This window comes from Homo sapiens, chromosome X (genome assembly GCF_000001405.40).
Source record: "Homo sapiens chromosome X, GRCh38.p14 Primary Assembly".
NCBI classification, from domain to species: Eukaryota; Metazoa; Chordata; class Mammalia; order Primates; family Hominidae; genus Homo; species Homo sapiens.
The window spans coordinates 31,417,890-31,435,083 of NC_000023.11; the positions used below are offsets into that span (position 1 = coordinate 31,417,890).

General features: G+C 40.0%; 1 protein-coding gene and 1 long non-coding RNA gene across 22 annotated transcripts in view, besides 2 other annotated features; one reads left to right on the forward strand and one right to left on the reverse strand.

Moving 5' to 3' along the window:
• Positions 1 to 17,194, reverse strand: part of DMD (dystrophin) — a 2,220,167-nt gene that overhangs the window by 298,668 nt on the left and 1,904,305 nt on the right.
• Positions 705 to 1,309: an enhancer, noted in NCBI's record as "H3K4me1 hESC enhancer chrX:31436711-31437315 (GRCh37/hg19 assembly coordinates)". NCBI's record gives its function as "activates a minimal SCP1, AML or CMV promoter by ChIP-STARR-seq in primed H9 embryonic stem cells {active_cell/tissue: H9 hESC(primed)}" and the evidence as "EXISTENCE:reporter gene assay evidence [ECO:0000049][PMID:30033119]".
• Positions 1,310 to 1,913: an enhancer, noted in NCBI's record as "NANOG-H3K4me1 hESC enhancer chrX:31437316-31437919 (GRCh37/hg19 assembly coordinates)". NCBI's record gives its function as "activates a minimal SCP1, AML or CMV promoter by ChIP-STARR-seq in naive H9 embryonic stem cells {active_cell/tissue: H9 hESC(naive)}" and the evidence as "EXISTENCE:reporter gene assay evidence [ECO:0000049][PMID:30033119]".
• Positions 8,450 to 14,923, forward strand: LOC124905175 (uncharacterized). Its single transcript, XR_007068211.1, has 3 exons — positions 8,450 to 8,543; positions 11,785 to 11,900; positions 12,489 to 14,923. It is a non-coding gene; the product is annotated as an uncharacterized LOC124905175 (long non-coding RNA).

Consider the following 17,194-nt stretch of genomic DNA (forward strand, 5'->3'; position numbering starts at 1 on the left):
TGTTGGCCAGGCTGGTCTCGAACTCCTGACCTCAGGTGATCCACCCACTGTGGCCTCCCAAAGTGCTGGGATTACAGGCGTGAGCCACCGTGCCTGGCCCTATTATTACTCTGCATGTTTCTGCAGAGATCTGTAGAAAATTAAAAAAAAAAAAAAAAGAATGCTGGCTTATAAATGGAGTAGATTTTCTGGAAAATGAATGTTTTAGTCCGTTGGAATGCTATAACAAAATATCATAAACTGGGTGGCTTATAGACAACCAAAGTTTTTTTCTCACAATTCTGAAGGCTAGGAAGTCTGATATCAAGGCGCTGGCAGATTCAGTGTTTGGTGAAGGCCTGCTTTCTTGTTCATAGATAGCACCTTCTTGTGTTCTCATGGCAAAAAGGGCAAAGCAGCTCTCTGGGTCTCTTTTATAAGGGTTCTAATCTCATTCATGTGGGCTCTGCCCTCATGATCTAATCACCTCCCAAGGGGCCTACCTCCTAATACCATCATATATGGAATTAGGTTTCCACATATGAATTTTGGGGAGACACAAATATTCAAGCCACAGCAGTAAGGCAATCACAAAATAGGGCAGTTAGATTTAAGTGTAATATACTAGGGAATGACAATGAGAGAGATGTATCATCAATTTCTTTGCCTTCTCCCCTATCATCAGGGAAGGTACCTAACTGCTCCAAGGCCACATGACTCCATGCGCACCAATAGCAAAAACTACATCCAATGCTTTATAGGTTAGGAAAGTACAGGTTCCCACACTTATATGTGCTCACTTCCATTTCTTGCTGCCCCTCTCTTTATTTACGAAAGGATGAGAACTTGATCCACAAGTGATTTCATTGAGATGTAACTCTTATTTTATCCAAAGAGAAGTGTTGGAACATGCTTTGATTATCAGGTGAGGGCTCTGTGCACATTTTCATGCAAATGTCTTAGATTGGTAACTCTCCTCCAATGAATGCAAGACCTTCTGCCTTCGGTGATGACTAAGGTGGTAACAGTTATCAGGTAGTTGCTTGGCACTGACTTATTTACTAGACATTCTTTTTTTTTGTTTTTTGTTTTTTTCCAGAGAGTCTCACTCTGTGGCCCAGGCCGGAGTGCAGTGGCATGATCTCAGCTCACGGCAACTTCCGCCTCCCGGGTTCAAGCAATTCTCCTGCCTCAGCCTCCCCAGTAGATGGGACTACAGGCACCACCACCACACCTGGCTAATTTTTGTATTTTTAGCAGAGACACGGTTTCACCGTGGTGGCCAGGCTGGTCTCAGACTCCTGGCCTCAAGTGATCCACCTGCCTTGGCCTCCCAAAGTGCTGGGATTACAGGTGTGAGCCACATTGCCTGGCCTACTAGATACTGTTAAGGCAGGCATGTGCTAAACAGGTCACATGACCTCTACTATCCCTGGAATTATAATACTAGTTAGAACAATAGTTTTCAAACTTTGACCATGACCTACAGTAAGAAATACATTCATCATAGTTACTTAGAATACATTCTCCACACGTATACATTCATGGGTGTATGTGTGTGTTGTTTGTCTAAAATACCACTTCCCCAGGAAACTTTCCAGGCCTACTACACCAGGTCAAGTCCCTCTGTTATACTCTCTCAGCACTCTGCTTTTGTCCTTTCTAAGTACTCATTACAATTGGAATGAAATAATTGCATAACAAAGATGTTGAACCCATCTCTAGATCTGTATTCTAGGGCTTTCTGAGGGCAGGGACCTTCTTCCTCTCTTATAGAACAGCAGTATAGGAAAAACTGACCTGAAGCAATAACATTTTGCACATAAGAGCTGCTTAATTAGTACTTGTGACCTGAGTAAATGGATAAAGACCTCAGCAAGGAGATCCCTGGGTCCTTTTCTTATTTGGAAATCTTGAGGTAGAGCTGGAGTAGGTCATCCAACATGTTCATTGGCATAGCTTACAGAACAACAGCATCAACATGGTGCCAGGACAGATAGGATGTATCTGGGGAGCAAGGTGTGATACGAGAGCGGGATGTATTATTAATAGTTCTACCTTTTCTCATTATTTTTTCAGGGCTTGAACATGTTTCTTGTTGGTATCCACTCATATTTATTGCCTCTTTCTTCATCTCATTTATTTATTGTGTCATTACCAACTTAACCCAGTTTTATTTATCTTCTTTTTGACTGCCTGTTGGCAAAAAAATATCAAAACTTAAGAAAAATGGGTGTTTTCTAGAAAGTTGGGTAAAAATACACTATTGTTTTGTTGCTTAATTTCTTTATGCTGCCTTGCTCTGTGAACAAAGTAGAAAATAATACATTTATTTTGGAAAATAAGCTCAATAAAGACAGGAGTTAGGAACCGTCCCTTGACTAACTACTGAGGGAAAGCCCTTTCTATAGAATAGAATTTACATCCTGTGAGTTGGTCATGTTTTTAGTAAGATGGATTAAATTGCATGTATATGTCCAGAGTCAATTAATGGGAAACATAGAACCAGAATCCAAGTCAATTTTGTCCATTACTTCTTTCTCAAGAGTAAACACCCTCAGCTGGATGACAAATAATGATTGCCAGGCAAGGTTTATGTTATTACCTCTACAAGTAGGAAGTTGATGCAAAGCAAAACTCTCACCTGACATCTGTTTTTTTTAATCACCCTTATAGCAAGTTAGTTTTAAAGAAGTGAGAAAGACATGCGTGAACAGGCAATTTTGCTCCCAGATCAAACTTCTTCTTATAACCAGACGTGGCTTCATGTTCCAGCAAAGCAAGATATTCCCAGGCCATAAGGTAACAAAGGCCTGGGACACTGTGGTGTCCACATTTCTCACTTCTATGAATGAGTGCCCACAGGAATGTGTTCATAACATGTAACAAAGTCAACTTGTGAGTTGCTGATACACATCTCTCTTATGTCATACAACTGCTGCCATTAGCGATTCATGGCAGTGTCCTTGCCCGGCAGTCATGCATATCCAAATGAGGCATACTCCCTAGCTATTACAAGAGTCCTGTCTGGCTGCAGGCATTGACTGACTTCTCCTTTTTATCTCAACTTAAAATCAGTGCCTTGCTCCCATCCAGTGCCACATGAAATCCAAGGAATCAAAGTGTAATCTCCGCTGCCACTCCTCATGTTCAAAACATGGACCATTATGCAATATTAAAGCATGAATCCTGGAACTCTGTTAATGTTGTGAAATAGGTGAGTAGTTAGCAAGAATTACCATTCTGACAGTGCAGTGGAAAAACTTCATTCATTGTAAAAAGCAGGGAGTTGAGTTTCTATATGGGGTTGCCTTTCACGTCCCCTCCCCTTGCAGAGATAATGAAAAAATGCCCAGCTATTTTTCAGATGTGATGTTTACTTTCTTTTCCAAGAGGTTCTTTGGAGGAATACACAGAAATATTTTATAGAACCACAAAATAATAGAGGTAAAATAAGCTTTGGAATAAAATAAGCAAATAAGACTAGTTTCTAGTCTACGATTTCTGGGAAAATGCGAGAACTTTAGTTAAACTTGTTTATTTTATTCTAGGTGAATTTTATTAACTTAAAGGATCATAAAATAATAATGATCATCTCTACTTTTAAAATCCACATTTCTATCAATTATTATATGCATATTCCAGTGTGTACAGATAAAAAGATATTCAAGTACAACTAAACCTAGAGATTTCATCAGAAAATAATCCCCAAAATGAGCTGCTATTGCAAAATGGAAAATATGATGTAAACAGGCATTTTGGGCTTTCAGATAAACAGCATAAATTTTTGAACAGGATACGTCTTGTTTTCCACAAAGAGAAAAACAAGGTGTAGTGAAGAGCGTTGAATTGTGTCTGATTTCTGATCTTGCTTTTAACAAATGAGAACGTCTCAGCTAAGTCAACCAGAAACTATTTCCTAATCTATAAATTAAAGGGTTTGGCCTAGATAATTTCTAGTCTTTTCTGGCTTCAACCCCTCCCTGCTTACTCTCTCTCTCTCTCTCTCTCTCTCTTTCTATATATATATATACACACACACACACATATATATATATATATATACACACACACATATATATATATATATACACATATATATATACACATATATATATGTATATATACACACACATATATATATATATAAACACACACACATATATATATATATATTTTTTTTTTTCTTTTTCTTTTTGAGACAGAGTCTTACTCTGTCACCCAGGCTCCGGGTTCAAGCAATTCTCCCACCTCAGCCTCCCGAGTAGCTGGGACTATGGGTGCATGCCACCACACCCGGCTAAATGTTTTTTGTATTTTTAGTAGAGACGGGGTTTCACCATGTTGGCCAAGCTGGTCTCGAACTCCTGGCCTCAGGTGATCTGCCTGCCTTGGCCTCTCAAAGTGCTGGGATTATAGGCATGGGCCACCGCACCTGGCCAGATTGCAGGTATCTTTAACAGGTTGGAGTGTTACCTGAATTTTCATCAATCTTGGGAAACATATAGCTGCTAACAGTTTTAACTTCCTACTCTATGTTTAACTCGTTTAACATATTAAAACACGCAGACAATATTAAACTGCAGCAACACATGGAGAAGAAAAGCATCGTGGAAATGGGGTAAGATGGGACTCTAGAAGTGTTTAAAACCTCCCATGCTGAAATTTTAAGTAAATGTTGACGGGCAATGGTTAAATTGTAAAATAAATGAATTTGTTGTCACTGAAATTTAGAATACTCCTACCTCTTCTTATGTTTTGCCCTTTTAAGATACAAATTAAAATTTTTAAAAAATAGAAGAGCTCAGAAATAAAGTGATGGGGATAATATGCATACCTATACTACCACACTTTTCCTTTCACCAGTTACTTTGGAAAGTATCCTATGGAGTTTTGATTTTAGTAGAATTCATGTGAGGCAAAAGATGGCTTATTATTTCTATTGTGTAAAATCTCCAAACCACTGGGCAGTTATAAGACTTTTTTTTTTTTTAAGCTCAAACACAGGTCAAGGCTATAGGTGGGAGTTCTTGAACAATAAACAAAGTGAGAAATGGTCTTAATTTTTTGTTATTGCTGCTTTGAATGACACACAGACACATGTACTAACACAGGCAAGACTCTTGCTGCACGGATATATGTATTTTTGTAGAAAAGATCAAACTAAAATGAATTCACTGCCTGGCATCATGTTTTCATCTGCCTTCCATTTTCCACAAGGGTGTACTCCACTTGCTTAGACTTAGGCAATTTAAAAATTCTTGATCTTAATGTCCTCTAAAATGTACAGACTTTATAGCTTAGATTTTAAGAGACACCATTACCTGACAGGGTAATGACAGTTTTATTTGCACTGGTGACTGGATTTGCTGTGATACTTAAGCAATAATACAAATAAAATGATAATTTTTTTGAGAGGATGTCAGGGAAGGAGAAAGAAAAGAACAAAATGCATCGCATTTAACTTGGTTTAAAAACACAACACACTGCAGCTTCCCAAAGCTTCTTATTTTACTGGAAAAAAAAATCCCTTAGCAATTCATCTTCCTTTGGGCGCATGAATGACATTTTACTGTGATGTGATTATAAGAAACAAAATCCCTCGGAGATGCTGCCTTAAAATATTTTTCTTTATAATGTTCTGAGCTCGACAAACCTTGGTAGAAAACAGAATACTCTTAATTATGAATAAATTAACTAAATTAGTAACATGAGATGGATATGCAATTAAGGGATTGTTAATTGAAACTGGAAACACAGCTGTATACAGCTTAGAGATGAATCATACCAGTAATGACGCAGATGTTTATAAAATGTGATTATCTTTAGTGGAGACAGCGCTGCATCTCCCAAGCCCATTCTTATATTGTGTCACTGAAATGGTTTTTAAACCCGTGAACACCAGGAATCAGGATCTCAGGGACGGCAAATTAGGCTCCCTGGATATGGGAATTAGTGTTGTCTGAATGTCAGCAATTTGATTCTCCAGCTTTCAAAGAATGTAGATATGGAGCCAACAACAAACATCTGTTAGTTGCATGGTCTTCAAAAAAACAAAAACAACCAAAAGTTGCTGGCAAACCAGTCCCTGCTTCAATCAGAGAAGACGGTAAAGTATCTGTAAACAGTCACACTGCTGTGTGTGACTGTTAGAAACATATAGAAAAGAGAACCCCAGGGCACAGTGCCAGAGACCTTATGCACAAATGGTAAATGCCCCCTCTGCTGGCAGAGGCTCTAAAACATTTTCTGCTCTTTTCCCGGCAGTGAACCCAGAAGAAAAAACAAAATCTTCACAACTAAGGAAGCAGTAGGAAAATGCCGTCATTACACTCACTGTATGTTGAAATGTACTAAAATTATCAATATTCTGTTGCACTTTGGAAACTTCCGTTTTTTGCTTATCCACACCATTTTCCCCCATGTGCAATTCCCATTTGCCCCAGGGAAGGGAAATGTCTCTATGGTTCTAGATTTTAATCGAGTTACATGATCTCTGCATAGACTGTGATTGGACAAGGTTGAGGGGAGACTGGATACTGTGTCCTAACCATAGTTTAATGATTATGGAATGAAGGGCTCAGCTACATAGACTAGTCTTTGGAAATCAGGTTTTTGGTTTCTGGACAAAGCTTGTGGCATTATTCAAACCAACAACTATTAGGCTGGATGGTGCTTACAAAGATGGAAGATGGTAGACATCAGTTTTTTACGTAAAGTGCAAACTAACCACTGTAAGGTGTAGTCAAAAAAGAAATAATACATAATTTTAGATATTGACCAACAGAAGATATATTTGTCACCTTAGCTTAGCTTCTCTTTCAAAATTATCAATGTCCTTAACAAAATCTAGTGCTGTAAAGGAAAATAAAACAACAGATAGTCTGACATTAGTTAATACTTTCCTCTATCAAAAGGATGCAGAAAACTTAGGGCATCCTCCTTGAATTCAGGGGAGACCTTTTACTACAACGTTTAACGAAGTATTTGGATGACTTGAGGCTCAAATAAACAACTCAGTTTTCCACTGTGTTGACTGTGGGCATATGGGGTGTAGCTGAGTTGTGAGTCTGTTAAAAGAAAATACACTTTCAGGAATGAATAAGGAGAAAAACGCAAACACATAAAAAGACACACCACTATATATAGTTTTCTCTCTATGTTGGATACCTATAAATGTGGGATTTGTTGAATTTTGATCACAAAGTCTTTCTATCCTATGTGTTAGTCTGCACAAGTACAGGCTTTGCCTATAATTTCAGTATTGATTTGCTGTTATACAGGTTCCAACTTGTCTAAATTTCATTACCTGAAGGGACAGCTTGCAATTCCATATACAGGTATAATAAAAGCAAGATGAGTACATGCATACTGTGAGCTCTGAAAAGGCACTTTTTCTACAATGGCTGTGCCAAATTCTTCATGAGACTGTTATTCTGTTGCAAATGGTGATAAGAAAGCCAATATCATACATTATTTACTAGCATTTGTACTAATATTTTCAATTCTGAACCTCATTATAATCACACTTGTTTCAGAACCCATTTGTGGACATACCCAGCTATTTGCCTAACTAACAGCTATTTACTTCTTGTTCCTTGGTAAAGAAGCTCAATTATGTTCAGATATTGGGCAACAAAGGACACAGCTCTGAGGAAAAAATTAAAATCTGGTCTAAGCCAATCACAGTAAGCTTGTTTCTCATAGCCAGTGATTGGCTTAAAGAGGTTCAGTGAGATCCAGTTCTAGTTGACACATAAGAAGAAATTTGTTGGGGAGCTTCTGGGAAACGTTTGCTTTTCCAAACACAGACACACAGGCATGAGTACACACACACACACACGCACACAATACAGTTATCCTTGAACCTTATTCCTTCTTGCCTTGGTTATTGTTGTCTGCGGATATGTTGCTTGGCGCAGTGGGAAGCCATCTTGGGACCATGAGGAAAAAGACAAGAGAATCCCAGAGAAGCTGACCTCAAGTCTTGATATAGCTAATCTGTTGAATTAACCAGCTCTAGGTCTGATGGTCTTTGGACTTCAGTTTATTTTGATTAGTGGTTCTCAAAGTGCAGTTCCTGACCACAGGAGTAGCAGCATAACTTGGCAACCTACTAGAAATGTAGAATCTCGGACTCCACGCTGGACCTACTGCATCAGAAACGCTGGGAGCAGCCTGCCAGCCTGTAGTTTAACAAGCCCCCAGGGGATTCTGATGCATACTAAAGTTTGGGAACTGTGCTAGATTATCAAATGTCTCTATTATTTCTAATGTGTCTATTATTAACGATAGGGTTTTCACTTCTTGCCTGATTCCACTGGAGTTCGTGTTAAAAAAAAATATATTCCCAAGTCTATTGCATCAGAATCTCCAGTGAAGGGGCTTGTGAATTAATAATTTAATCAAGTGCCCCTGGTGATTCTTATGACCAGAAAACCTTGGGAAAGACAAACTTAAGAACTTTAAAGTCAGGTATCTGTTACTGGCCTCTGAAAGTATTCTAACTGACATTCCATCTGCAATCTCCTGTTTCAACTGGCCGCAGCTCCAGGACCACTCAGGTAAGCAGATACTAGCTCTTGCCTTGGCAAATATATTATGAAGTCTTAGCTTGGAGAGCCTTTGACTTAAAGTGAGGTTTACATTTCTAAGATGTTGGTTTCTTGACTTAACTGTCTATTTGAATTCCTGATCTTTTCCATTCAGAGCCTGTTTACCCGAACTCCCCACTTCAGCTACAGTCTGAATTCCTAACCTCGTGTACATTCTTGATCAGTGTTATCTGGTGGCCTCACCAACCCTGCCAGAATTTCAGAGCCCCTCTCAAGTAATTACAGGGGTAATCATGCATTCCTTAACTCTTAGGCTGCATTCTTAGGGGGCAGATTCCTACCTACTAACCTTGAACCTGCTGATGCCCATGAGGCTGGCATGAAAGCAGGAACAATTAGTCTGTTAAAAACTAAACATATATTCCTGAAGTCTGAAAAAAGGTTCTACTCATCCAAATAGAAATAATTGAGAACTCTAAAATATTTAACTTTAAATGGTCTGGAATCATCAATGTTCTTTCAGGTTGAATGAATATTTTACATTAAAAACTTTCTGTCCCTTGTTTACTTGGCCAAATAAGGTAAAAAGGTCAAAACAATCTTAGTGAAATTGTTTCCTTATGAATGACAAATGTAAAGAGTCAAAAGAGGAATTAAGGTAAATAATTTAATTATATTTCATCTCCCCTAATTACATGTTTTTCATTTGCTTAGATATTACTTATTTCACCTCTGCTGCCTTCCCCACCATATACCCGATAACTCAGTCATTCCAGACTTATAAACTACCTCAGGTTATATCAGATCTTCCCAGACCTGGTTTTCTTCCTAGAAAACCATTCCATTTTTTTCTTTACCTCTTGGAACCCTACTCATTGCTCGAGTCTAAGCTCAAATGTCACCCCTTGTGCAAAATTTATTGCTAACTCTTCTGCACATTAATATCATTTCTGGGGGGCTCACATCTCTAGTGGAGCCCTTGTAATACTGTATGTAGTTCATGTATTAATCATCTTTGAAGGGAGCCTGTGTCATGTACATCTTTGTCCCTCCTATTGGGTAGAGGGTCTCGAGACTAATGTAGTCACTGATAAAATACTGAACTGAACTTCATGCAAAAGTGATTTCTGAGAAAAGGCATTAACCAAATAGTGCCTTAATTTTATTACTTGTTTTGCAGGTTTTATGTACTTAATTGCAAGTAGGAGGCTAATGAAAAATGTTTAGTTTTTGCAGTGTGGTGGTGGTGAGGGGCATCCCAGCTTGAGTGGTAGAGGTCCCAGCTTAACACAGAAATTTAGATAAATGTGGCAAATTGGTGGGATGGGCAATGTATCTCATCTGCACTGAGAGAAAAGCTCAAGGTGTAACCATTTCTGGGGCTACATGTCTAGTCATCTCTAAGAGATTGGTGGCTCCCCAGACATCCATTGCAGGGACACTAAGGAGGTCTCTTAGGAGAAGGCGTAATGAAAGAACATATTATAAACCAGGTGCTTTGCTCAGTAGAAAAGCCTCGGTCAACAAGAGAAAGAGAAAGAGTGGTTTTGAGAATACTGTGGTGTCTGCTACTTAGATTTATCTTCTGGTTCAGTCATATCTGAGTCCCATGCATCTAAGTCAGAATTATTTGCAAGACCATGTGCCAGATGAGATGCTTTCTGCTGCAGGTTGTAGAAAACTGATATGGGTTGGATGTTTGTTCCCTTCAAATCTCATGCTGAAATGTAATCCCCAGTGTTGGATGTGGGGCCCGGTGGGGGAGACTGGATCATGGGGCTGGATCCCTCACGAATGGCTCAGTGCCATTCTTGCAGTAATAAGTGAGTTCTCACTCAGAGTGAGTTCATGTGGGATCTGACTGTTTAAAAGAGTGTGGCACCTCCCACCCCCTCACTCCATCTCTCACCATGTGACACGCTGGTTCTCCTTTCACCTTCCACCATGATTGTAAGCTTGCTGAAGCCCTCACCAGAAGCAGAGGCTGTCACCACACTTCCTGTACAGCCTGCAGAACCATGAGCCAATGAAATCTCTTTTCCTTATAAATTACCCAGCCTCAGGTATTCCTTTATAGTGATGCAAATGGAATTAACATAAAAACCCAACACAAAATGTCTTGACTAGTCAAGGCCCACAGAGGCAAAGCTGCTCCAGGACTGGGTAATCCAGAAGCACAATGACATTATTCCAGGTTCCTCCCATCCTTCCATTCTGCCATTCTTGGTGAACTGTCCACATACTCACAACGTAGCTACTGAAATTCTGATCTATTCACTCGTTCATTCAACAAATATTTACCACGCTAAGATCTATTCTTAGGTAATTTGGATACATTAGCTAACAAAACAGACAATATCCCTGGCCTCATGGAGCTCACCTTCTCATAGTGAAAGACAATTTAAAAAAGTATATTAGGCCGGGAGTGGTGGCTCATGCCTGTAATCCCAGCACTTGGGAGGCCAAGGCGGGCAGATCACGAGGTCAGGAGTTCGAGACCAGCCTGGCCAGCATGGTGAAACCCCGTCTCTACTAAAAATAAAAAAAAACTAGCTGGGCGTGGTGGTGGATGCCTGTAGTCCCAGCTACTCGGGAGGCTGAGGCAGGAGAATTACTTGAACCCAGCAGGCGGAGGTTGCAGTGAGCTGAGATCATGCCACTGCACTCCAGCCTGGGCGACAGATTGAGACTCCATCTCAAAAAAAAAAAAAAAGTATATTACACATGTTAATCCTGCAGAATGAGTGTATGATAGGAAAAACCAGAAAAAACAGGACAGATGTTCCTTTTGCTATATATCACCCTAGAACTTACTGGCTAAAAATAACCATTTATCAGTATTGCTCATGGTTCTGTGAGTTGACTGTGCTCAGGTGGGTGTTTCTTGCTTGGGTTCTTTCATGTGTTTGCAGTCAGATAGTAGCCAAAGCTGAATTGATCTGAAGGCTCCATTGGAATGGCTGTTACAGTTTTTTCACTTGTACATCTGGCTCCTCACTTGGGATGGCTGCGGATCTTCGGCCAACAGCTGGGGGCTAGCCACGTATTTGTCTTTCCATGCAGCTTCCCCATGTGGCTAGCTTAGATTTGTGGCTTCTTCATGTAGACAGCACAGTGGCCTTAGAGTAGACTTAGTACAGGGCAGATCACTTTCCCCAGAGTGAGCATTCCAGAAGACCAAGACAGAAGCTACAAGACTCCTTCTTATTTAGCTTTGAACTTCTTGCAGAATCAATTCTACCTCCTTCAGTTTGTTGTACAGGAGCAGCCCAGATTTGGTGTGTTCCTCTACACAAGGAACAATTGCCTGGAGACATGATTCACAGGGAGGAGGGAGTGCCTTCCTAGAAGAGCTATCATAAAAAGGTAAGTGGGAAATGGATTCAGATGGCTGGGAAGAGGGAGATGGGGCAGTTGCTGTCTAATTAGTGTGGTCAAATTTTAAGAAGGTTTTTTTTTTTTTTAAGTTGAGATTTGAATAAGACTTGAAGGAAATGACAGAGTTAGTCACAAAGATTTCTGGAGAAAGAATGTTCCAGGTAGAATAAAGAACTACGCATAGTGCCCGGAGAAGGATGCCTGTTTAGTTCTCTAGACGAGAAAAACCTTTCTCAGAAGGTCCCTTAGCTGAATGCCCTTTGTATTTTATTACCTAAAATTGCGTAATATGACCATGTCCAATTCCGAAGAGGGCAATCAAGACTGCGAGAGCACCATGAAATAGCTCAGGACTATCATTATGTATTCCCTTGGGTTGGGGCTTCCCTTGATGCACATGATATGCAGAGGAGGGTAGATCCTCAACAAGCCTGGTGGCTGCCAGCAAAGGAGAAGGGTGTATATGGACACATTTGGGGAAAAGAAAACAAGAGTATCTTTCTTCCCCACACCCTGGGGATTAAACAATACTCCTTTTGGGCCTGTCTAACAGGACAACTCATCCCATTTTCCCAGCCCTAGATCCTGACTATCAGCAGAGAATTCTTGTGCTTGGTGTAAGAGCAGAAAAGGCTGGAAAGGCAGCGATAATGACCAGGATCAGCATCTAACTCACCCAGTGGCAAAGGGGCCACCACCCACAGAAGGTTTAAAAGTGTACACTCAACAGATAAGCAGTAGGTAGCATTCATAATGGGAAAATATGACTCTGAAAGAAAATTTTTATGTGGCACTGAGATACTTTGAGATGCATGATCAATGAAGGACCTAATTCAAAGAGGGTAACATTAAAATTCCCAAGTACAGCACAGCCACAAAAGCTGTAGCCACATGGGCAACTTTACTGCCCCTACAGTTTAAGTGTCTGATGGGAATGCCAGACCTAAGAATTGGAATTGGGGGTCCTGACTTGTTTGAAGCAAGTTAAGGTCTTTTTTTTTTTTTTTTTTTTTTTTTTTTGAGAGGGAGTCTCACTCTGTCACCAGTCTGGAGTGCAGTGGCATGATCTCAGCTCACTGCAAGCTCCGCCTCCCAGGTTCATGCCATTCTCCAGCCTCAGCCTCCCAAGTAGCTGGGACTACAGGCGCCTGCCACCATGCCCGGCTAATGTTTTGTATTTCAGTAGAGACAGGATTTCACCATTTGGTCAGGATGGTCTTGATCTCCTGATCTCGTAATTCACCCGCCTCGGCCTCCCAAAGTGGTGGGATTACAGGCGTGAGCCACCGCGCCTGGACAAGTCAAGGTCTTTTTATATTTCCTCAGTGTCACTTACAATAATCCACCTACACTTGATTTTCTCTGTTACAAAAAGATAGTATATTAAAAGGTAGTTCAGTCGATATTTATGGATGGAAACAGAGGTGAATATTTAGAAAGACTAAATCAAACTGAGATAATAAAGAAATATAAGCTATAATTCAGAGGAATGGAATGCCAAAAGTAAGGGGAGTGGAATCTGAAGTTCATGACTATGCTCTCATATTTTTTTCCTGCCAGCTGTTGGTAGAAATTATTATTATGATGATGATGATTATGATTATTATTATTTTGAGACGGAGTTTCGCTCTTGTTGCCCCGGCTGGAGTGCAATGGCGTGATCTTGGCTCACAGCAACCTCCGCCTCCTGGGTTCAAGCCATTCTCCTGCCTCAGCCTCCCGAGTAGCTGAGATTACAGGCATGTGCCACCACGCCCAGCTAATTTTGTATTTTTAGTAGAGATGGGGTTTCTCCATGTTGGTCAGGCTGGTCTCGAACTCCGGACCTCAGGTGATCCACCCGCCTCGGCCTCCCAAAGTGCTGGGATTACAGGCGTGAGCCACTGCGCCTGGCCAGAAATTATTATATGAAACTAGAAGCCTGTTCAATTTTAACAAAAGGATGCAGATATGATGCAACTGTTGAACATAAGACAAATTAAAATATTTTCTTTCTTTTCTTTTCTTTCTCTCTCTCTCTTTCTTTCTTTTTTAGATGGAGTCTCCCTCTCTACCCAGGCTGGAGTGCAGTGGCATGATCTCAGCTCACTGCAACCTCCACCTCCCGGGTTCAAGTGATTCTCCTGCCTCAGCCTCCTGAGTAGTTGGGATTACAGGCATGCGTCACCATGCCTGGCTAATTTTTGTATTTTTGATTGAGACGGGGTTTTACCATGTTGGTCAGGCTGGTCTCGAACGCCTGACCTCATGATCTGCTCACCTCGGCCTCCCAGAGTGCTGGGACCACAGGTGTGAGCCACCGCACCTGGCCCAAATTAAAATATTTTCATTGCAAATACAAAATACCAAGAGGTTCTATATATAATCTTTGAAAGTACCCTTTCTATTTAAAGATCAGGATTTTTTTTCACATGTCTAGAAAGAAATTTGGTTCAATTCTATTCACTATGTATTTATTGGGAACCCATTAGATGTGTAATATAATCAAATATCAATAGATTATAGAAAAGAAGAGAGTCCTTTTTCTTACAACCCAGCAGGGCGGAAAGGATTAAATTCTTCTTATAAAGGGAGAACAAATAGATTAGAAAAGACGCTGCGTAGTCAAGTTCAGAAAAGTGAGAAAGTTTAGAAAGGTTTCATAGAGATGAACTGCAGTTCTAATAATAAAACTTAACATTTTTATAACATTTGATAGTTTCGGAAGCAGTTTCACAGACCTTATCTCATTGCTTCACATGGACCTTGTAAGACAGGTGGGATTTGGATAAGTAGTTCCTTTAAAAAATGTCTTCGAATATTGTACATTTAGACTGACAAATGCCTTTATTAGAATAAAGGGAAAAGGTATGTGAGAGACATAGAGAGCAAATTTTGGGTTCTAGTTCCACAACTAACTAGCTGTGTGAACTATGAACTATCATGTGGTGTCTTTGTAAACTCAAGGGTTGGATTTCTGGACTTTCTGTGCTGAAGTGTAAAACTAAAAATATTAAAATATTCAGTAATTCAAAGTGGATATTTTAAAAGCAATGAAACATATCAGTAGATTCAATTGTTTTCTTATTTATTTTTATGATTTGATATTTTATATTTTTAGATTTCAATTTTTATTTTAGACTCAAGGGGTACATGTGCAGGTTTATTACATGGGTATATTGTGTGACACTGAGGTTTGGAGTACAGTTGAACCTGTCACCCAGGTAGTGAGTATAGTACTCGATAGGTAGTTTTTTCAGCCCTTGTCCCACACCCTCCTGCCCTTGTCACTAGTGCCTGTTGTTCCCAACTTTACATCCATGTGTACCCAAAGGTTAGCTCCTGCTTATAAGTGAGCACATGCATTATTTGGTTTTCTGTTTCTGCTTTAATTCGCTTAGGATAATGACCTCCAGTTCCAACCATGTTGCTACAGAGGACATGATTTCCTTCTTTTTCATAGCTGTGTAGTATTCCATGGTGCATATATGCCACGTTTTCTTTATCCAATCCACCATTGATGGGCACCTAGGTTGACTTTATGTCTTTGCTATTGTGAATAGTGCTGCAATGAACATATGAGCGCACGTCTTTTTGGTAGAAAAATTTATATTTCTTTGGGTACATACCAAGTAATGGAAGTGCTGGGTCAAATGGTAGTTCTTTTTTTTCTTTCTTTCTTTTTTTTTTTTTTGAGACAGAGTCTTGCTCTGTTGCCCAGGCTGGAGTGCAGTGGCATGATCTCGGCTCACTGCAACCTCCGCCTCCTATGTTCAAGTGGTTCTCCTGCCTCAGCCTTCCGAGTAACTGGGATTACAGGTGTCTGCCACCATGCCCGGCTAATTTTTTTGTATTTTTAGTAGAGATAGGGTTTCACCATGTTGGCCAGGCTGGTCTCGAACTCCTAACCTCAGGTGATCCACCCACCTCGACCTCCCAAAGTGCTGGGATCACAGGCGTGAGCCACGACACCCGGTCATTTTTTTCTTGGAGTTTTGGCAAAACTATTTAAGTGTTGGTTAACCTTATGAAGCCACAAATTTAGATGTAAGTACTACGTCTTCAGAAATTATAGTTTTTTTCCCCTAATTTTTCTCCTCTGGTATAACTTTCTGCTTATTTTTATAGTTTTCAGTAACATTTTAACTTAGTTTTATGCATTCATCTATTCAAGACATTTATAGAATGCTTACTATATGAAAGACACTGCCAAATGTCAGTAGATGTGGTATTCAGGGCCTCTGTCCTTATGGAGCTCACATTCAGATAGGGGAAACAGACTTTCATTAAACAAGCCACCAAACACATAGCTATAGATTTTCGTAAGTGCTGTGAAGAAAGCAAACAGGATGCTCTCTGTGATAATGATGGGAAATCTTCCCTAGATGTGACTTAATTATACATTAACTCTGCAGTCCATTACTTCAAATGATCCCTAGTTATTCAATTTACATACTGGAATTTTACAACCCTGTTTAGTTAGTCCCAGGCTTCAGGCCATTTAAAACAAAAGATATAGATGAATAGAAGAGTCACTCAGCTTGTCTTCATCCTTCAGATCTCGGTCAAAGGTCACTTTTATTGGGAGGGTGTCCTGATTGCCCTTTCCTGCCTCTCACCCTTACTGCAGCGCGCGCGCACACACACACACACACACACACACACACACACACACACACACACACACACACACATTTAGGTCCTTACTATATATTCTGGTAGTGTCCTGTATTTTCTTTCCTGACACATTTGTAATTATTTTATGAGATTTAAAAAATTACTGTCTGTCATCCCAAGAAACCATAACCTCCATGAGGGCAGAGAAGGTCTGTCTATGACTGAATCCCTATCATCTCAAACAGAGTTTGGTAAAGAGTAGACACCAGAAAAAAATAATTATTGAATGAATGATTGAACAAAGGAGGATTTCCGTTCACTTCAGCAAGACTTTGATGATTCAACCCTCTTGGTCCTACAGAAGAGTGATTCTAGTTTTTAGTCTGTGAATGATTCAGGCTCTGAGTTAAACAGGCAATTCTTGAGATCGTGGTCTGAAATTCATACAACCCTCCTACTTTAAATTTCCTCAACTCATGATCCAGGTGATTCCTGACAAATTAATAAATGTGAGAATGATGCTGTTCTTTTTGTTTAAAGGGTCGAATCATAAATGAATAGGAAATGTTGTCATGTCAATTCAACTTTTTATCAGAGGAGTGGTACTGCATAGTTAGGAGTTCTGACAGATTCCCCAGGCAGACTGTCTGGGTTCAAATCCTGGCTCTCTCACTTACCTGATATAT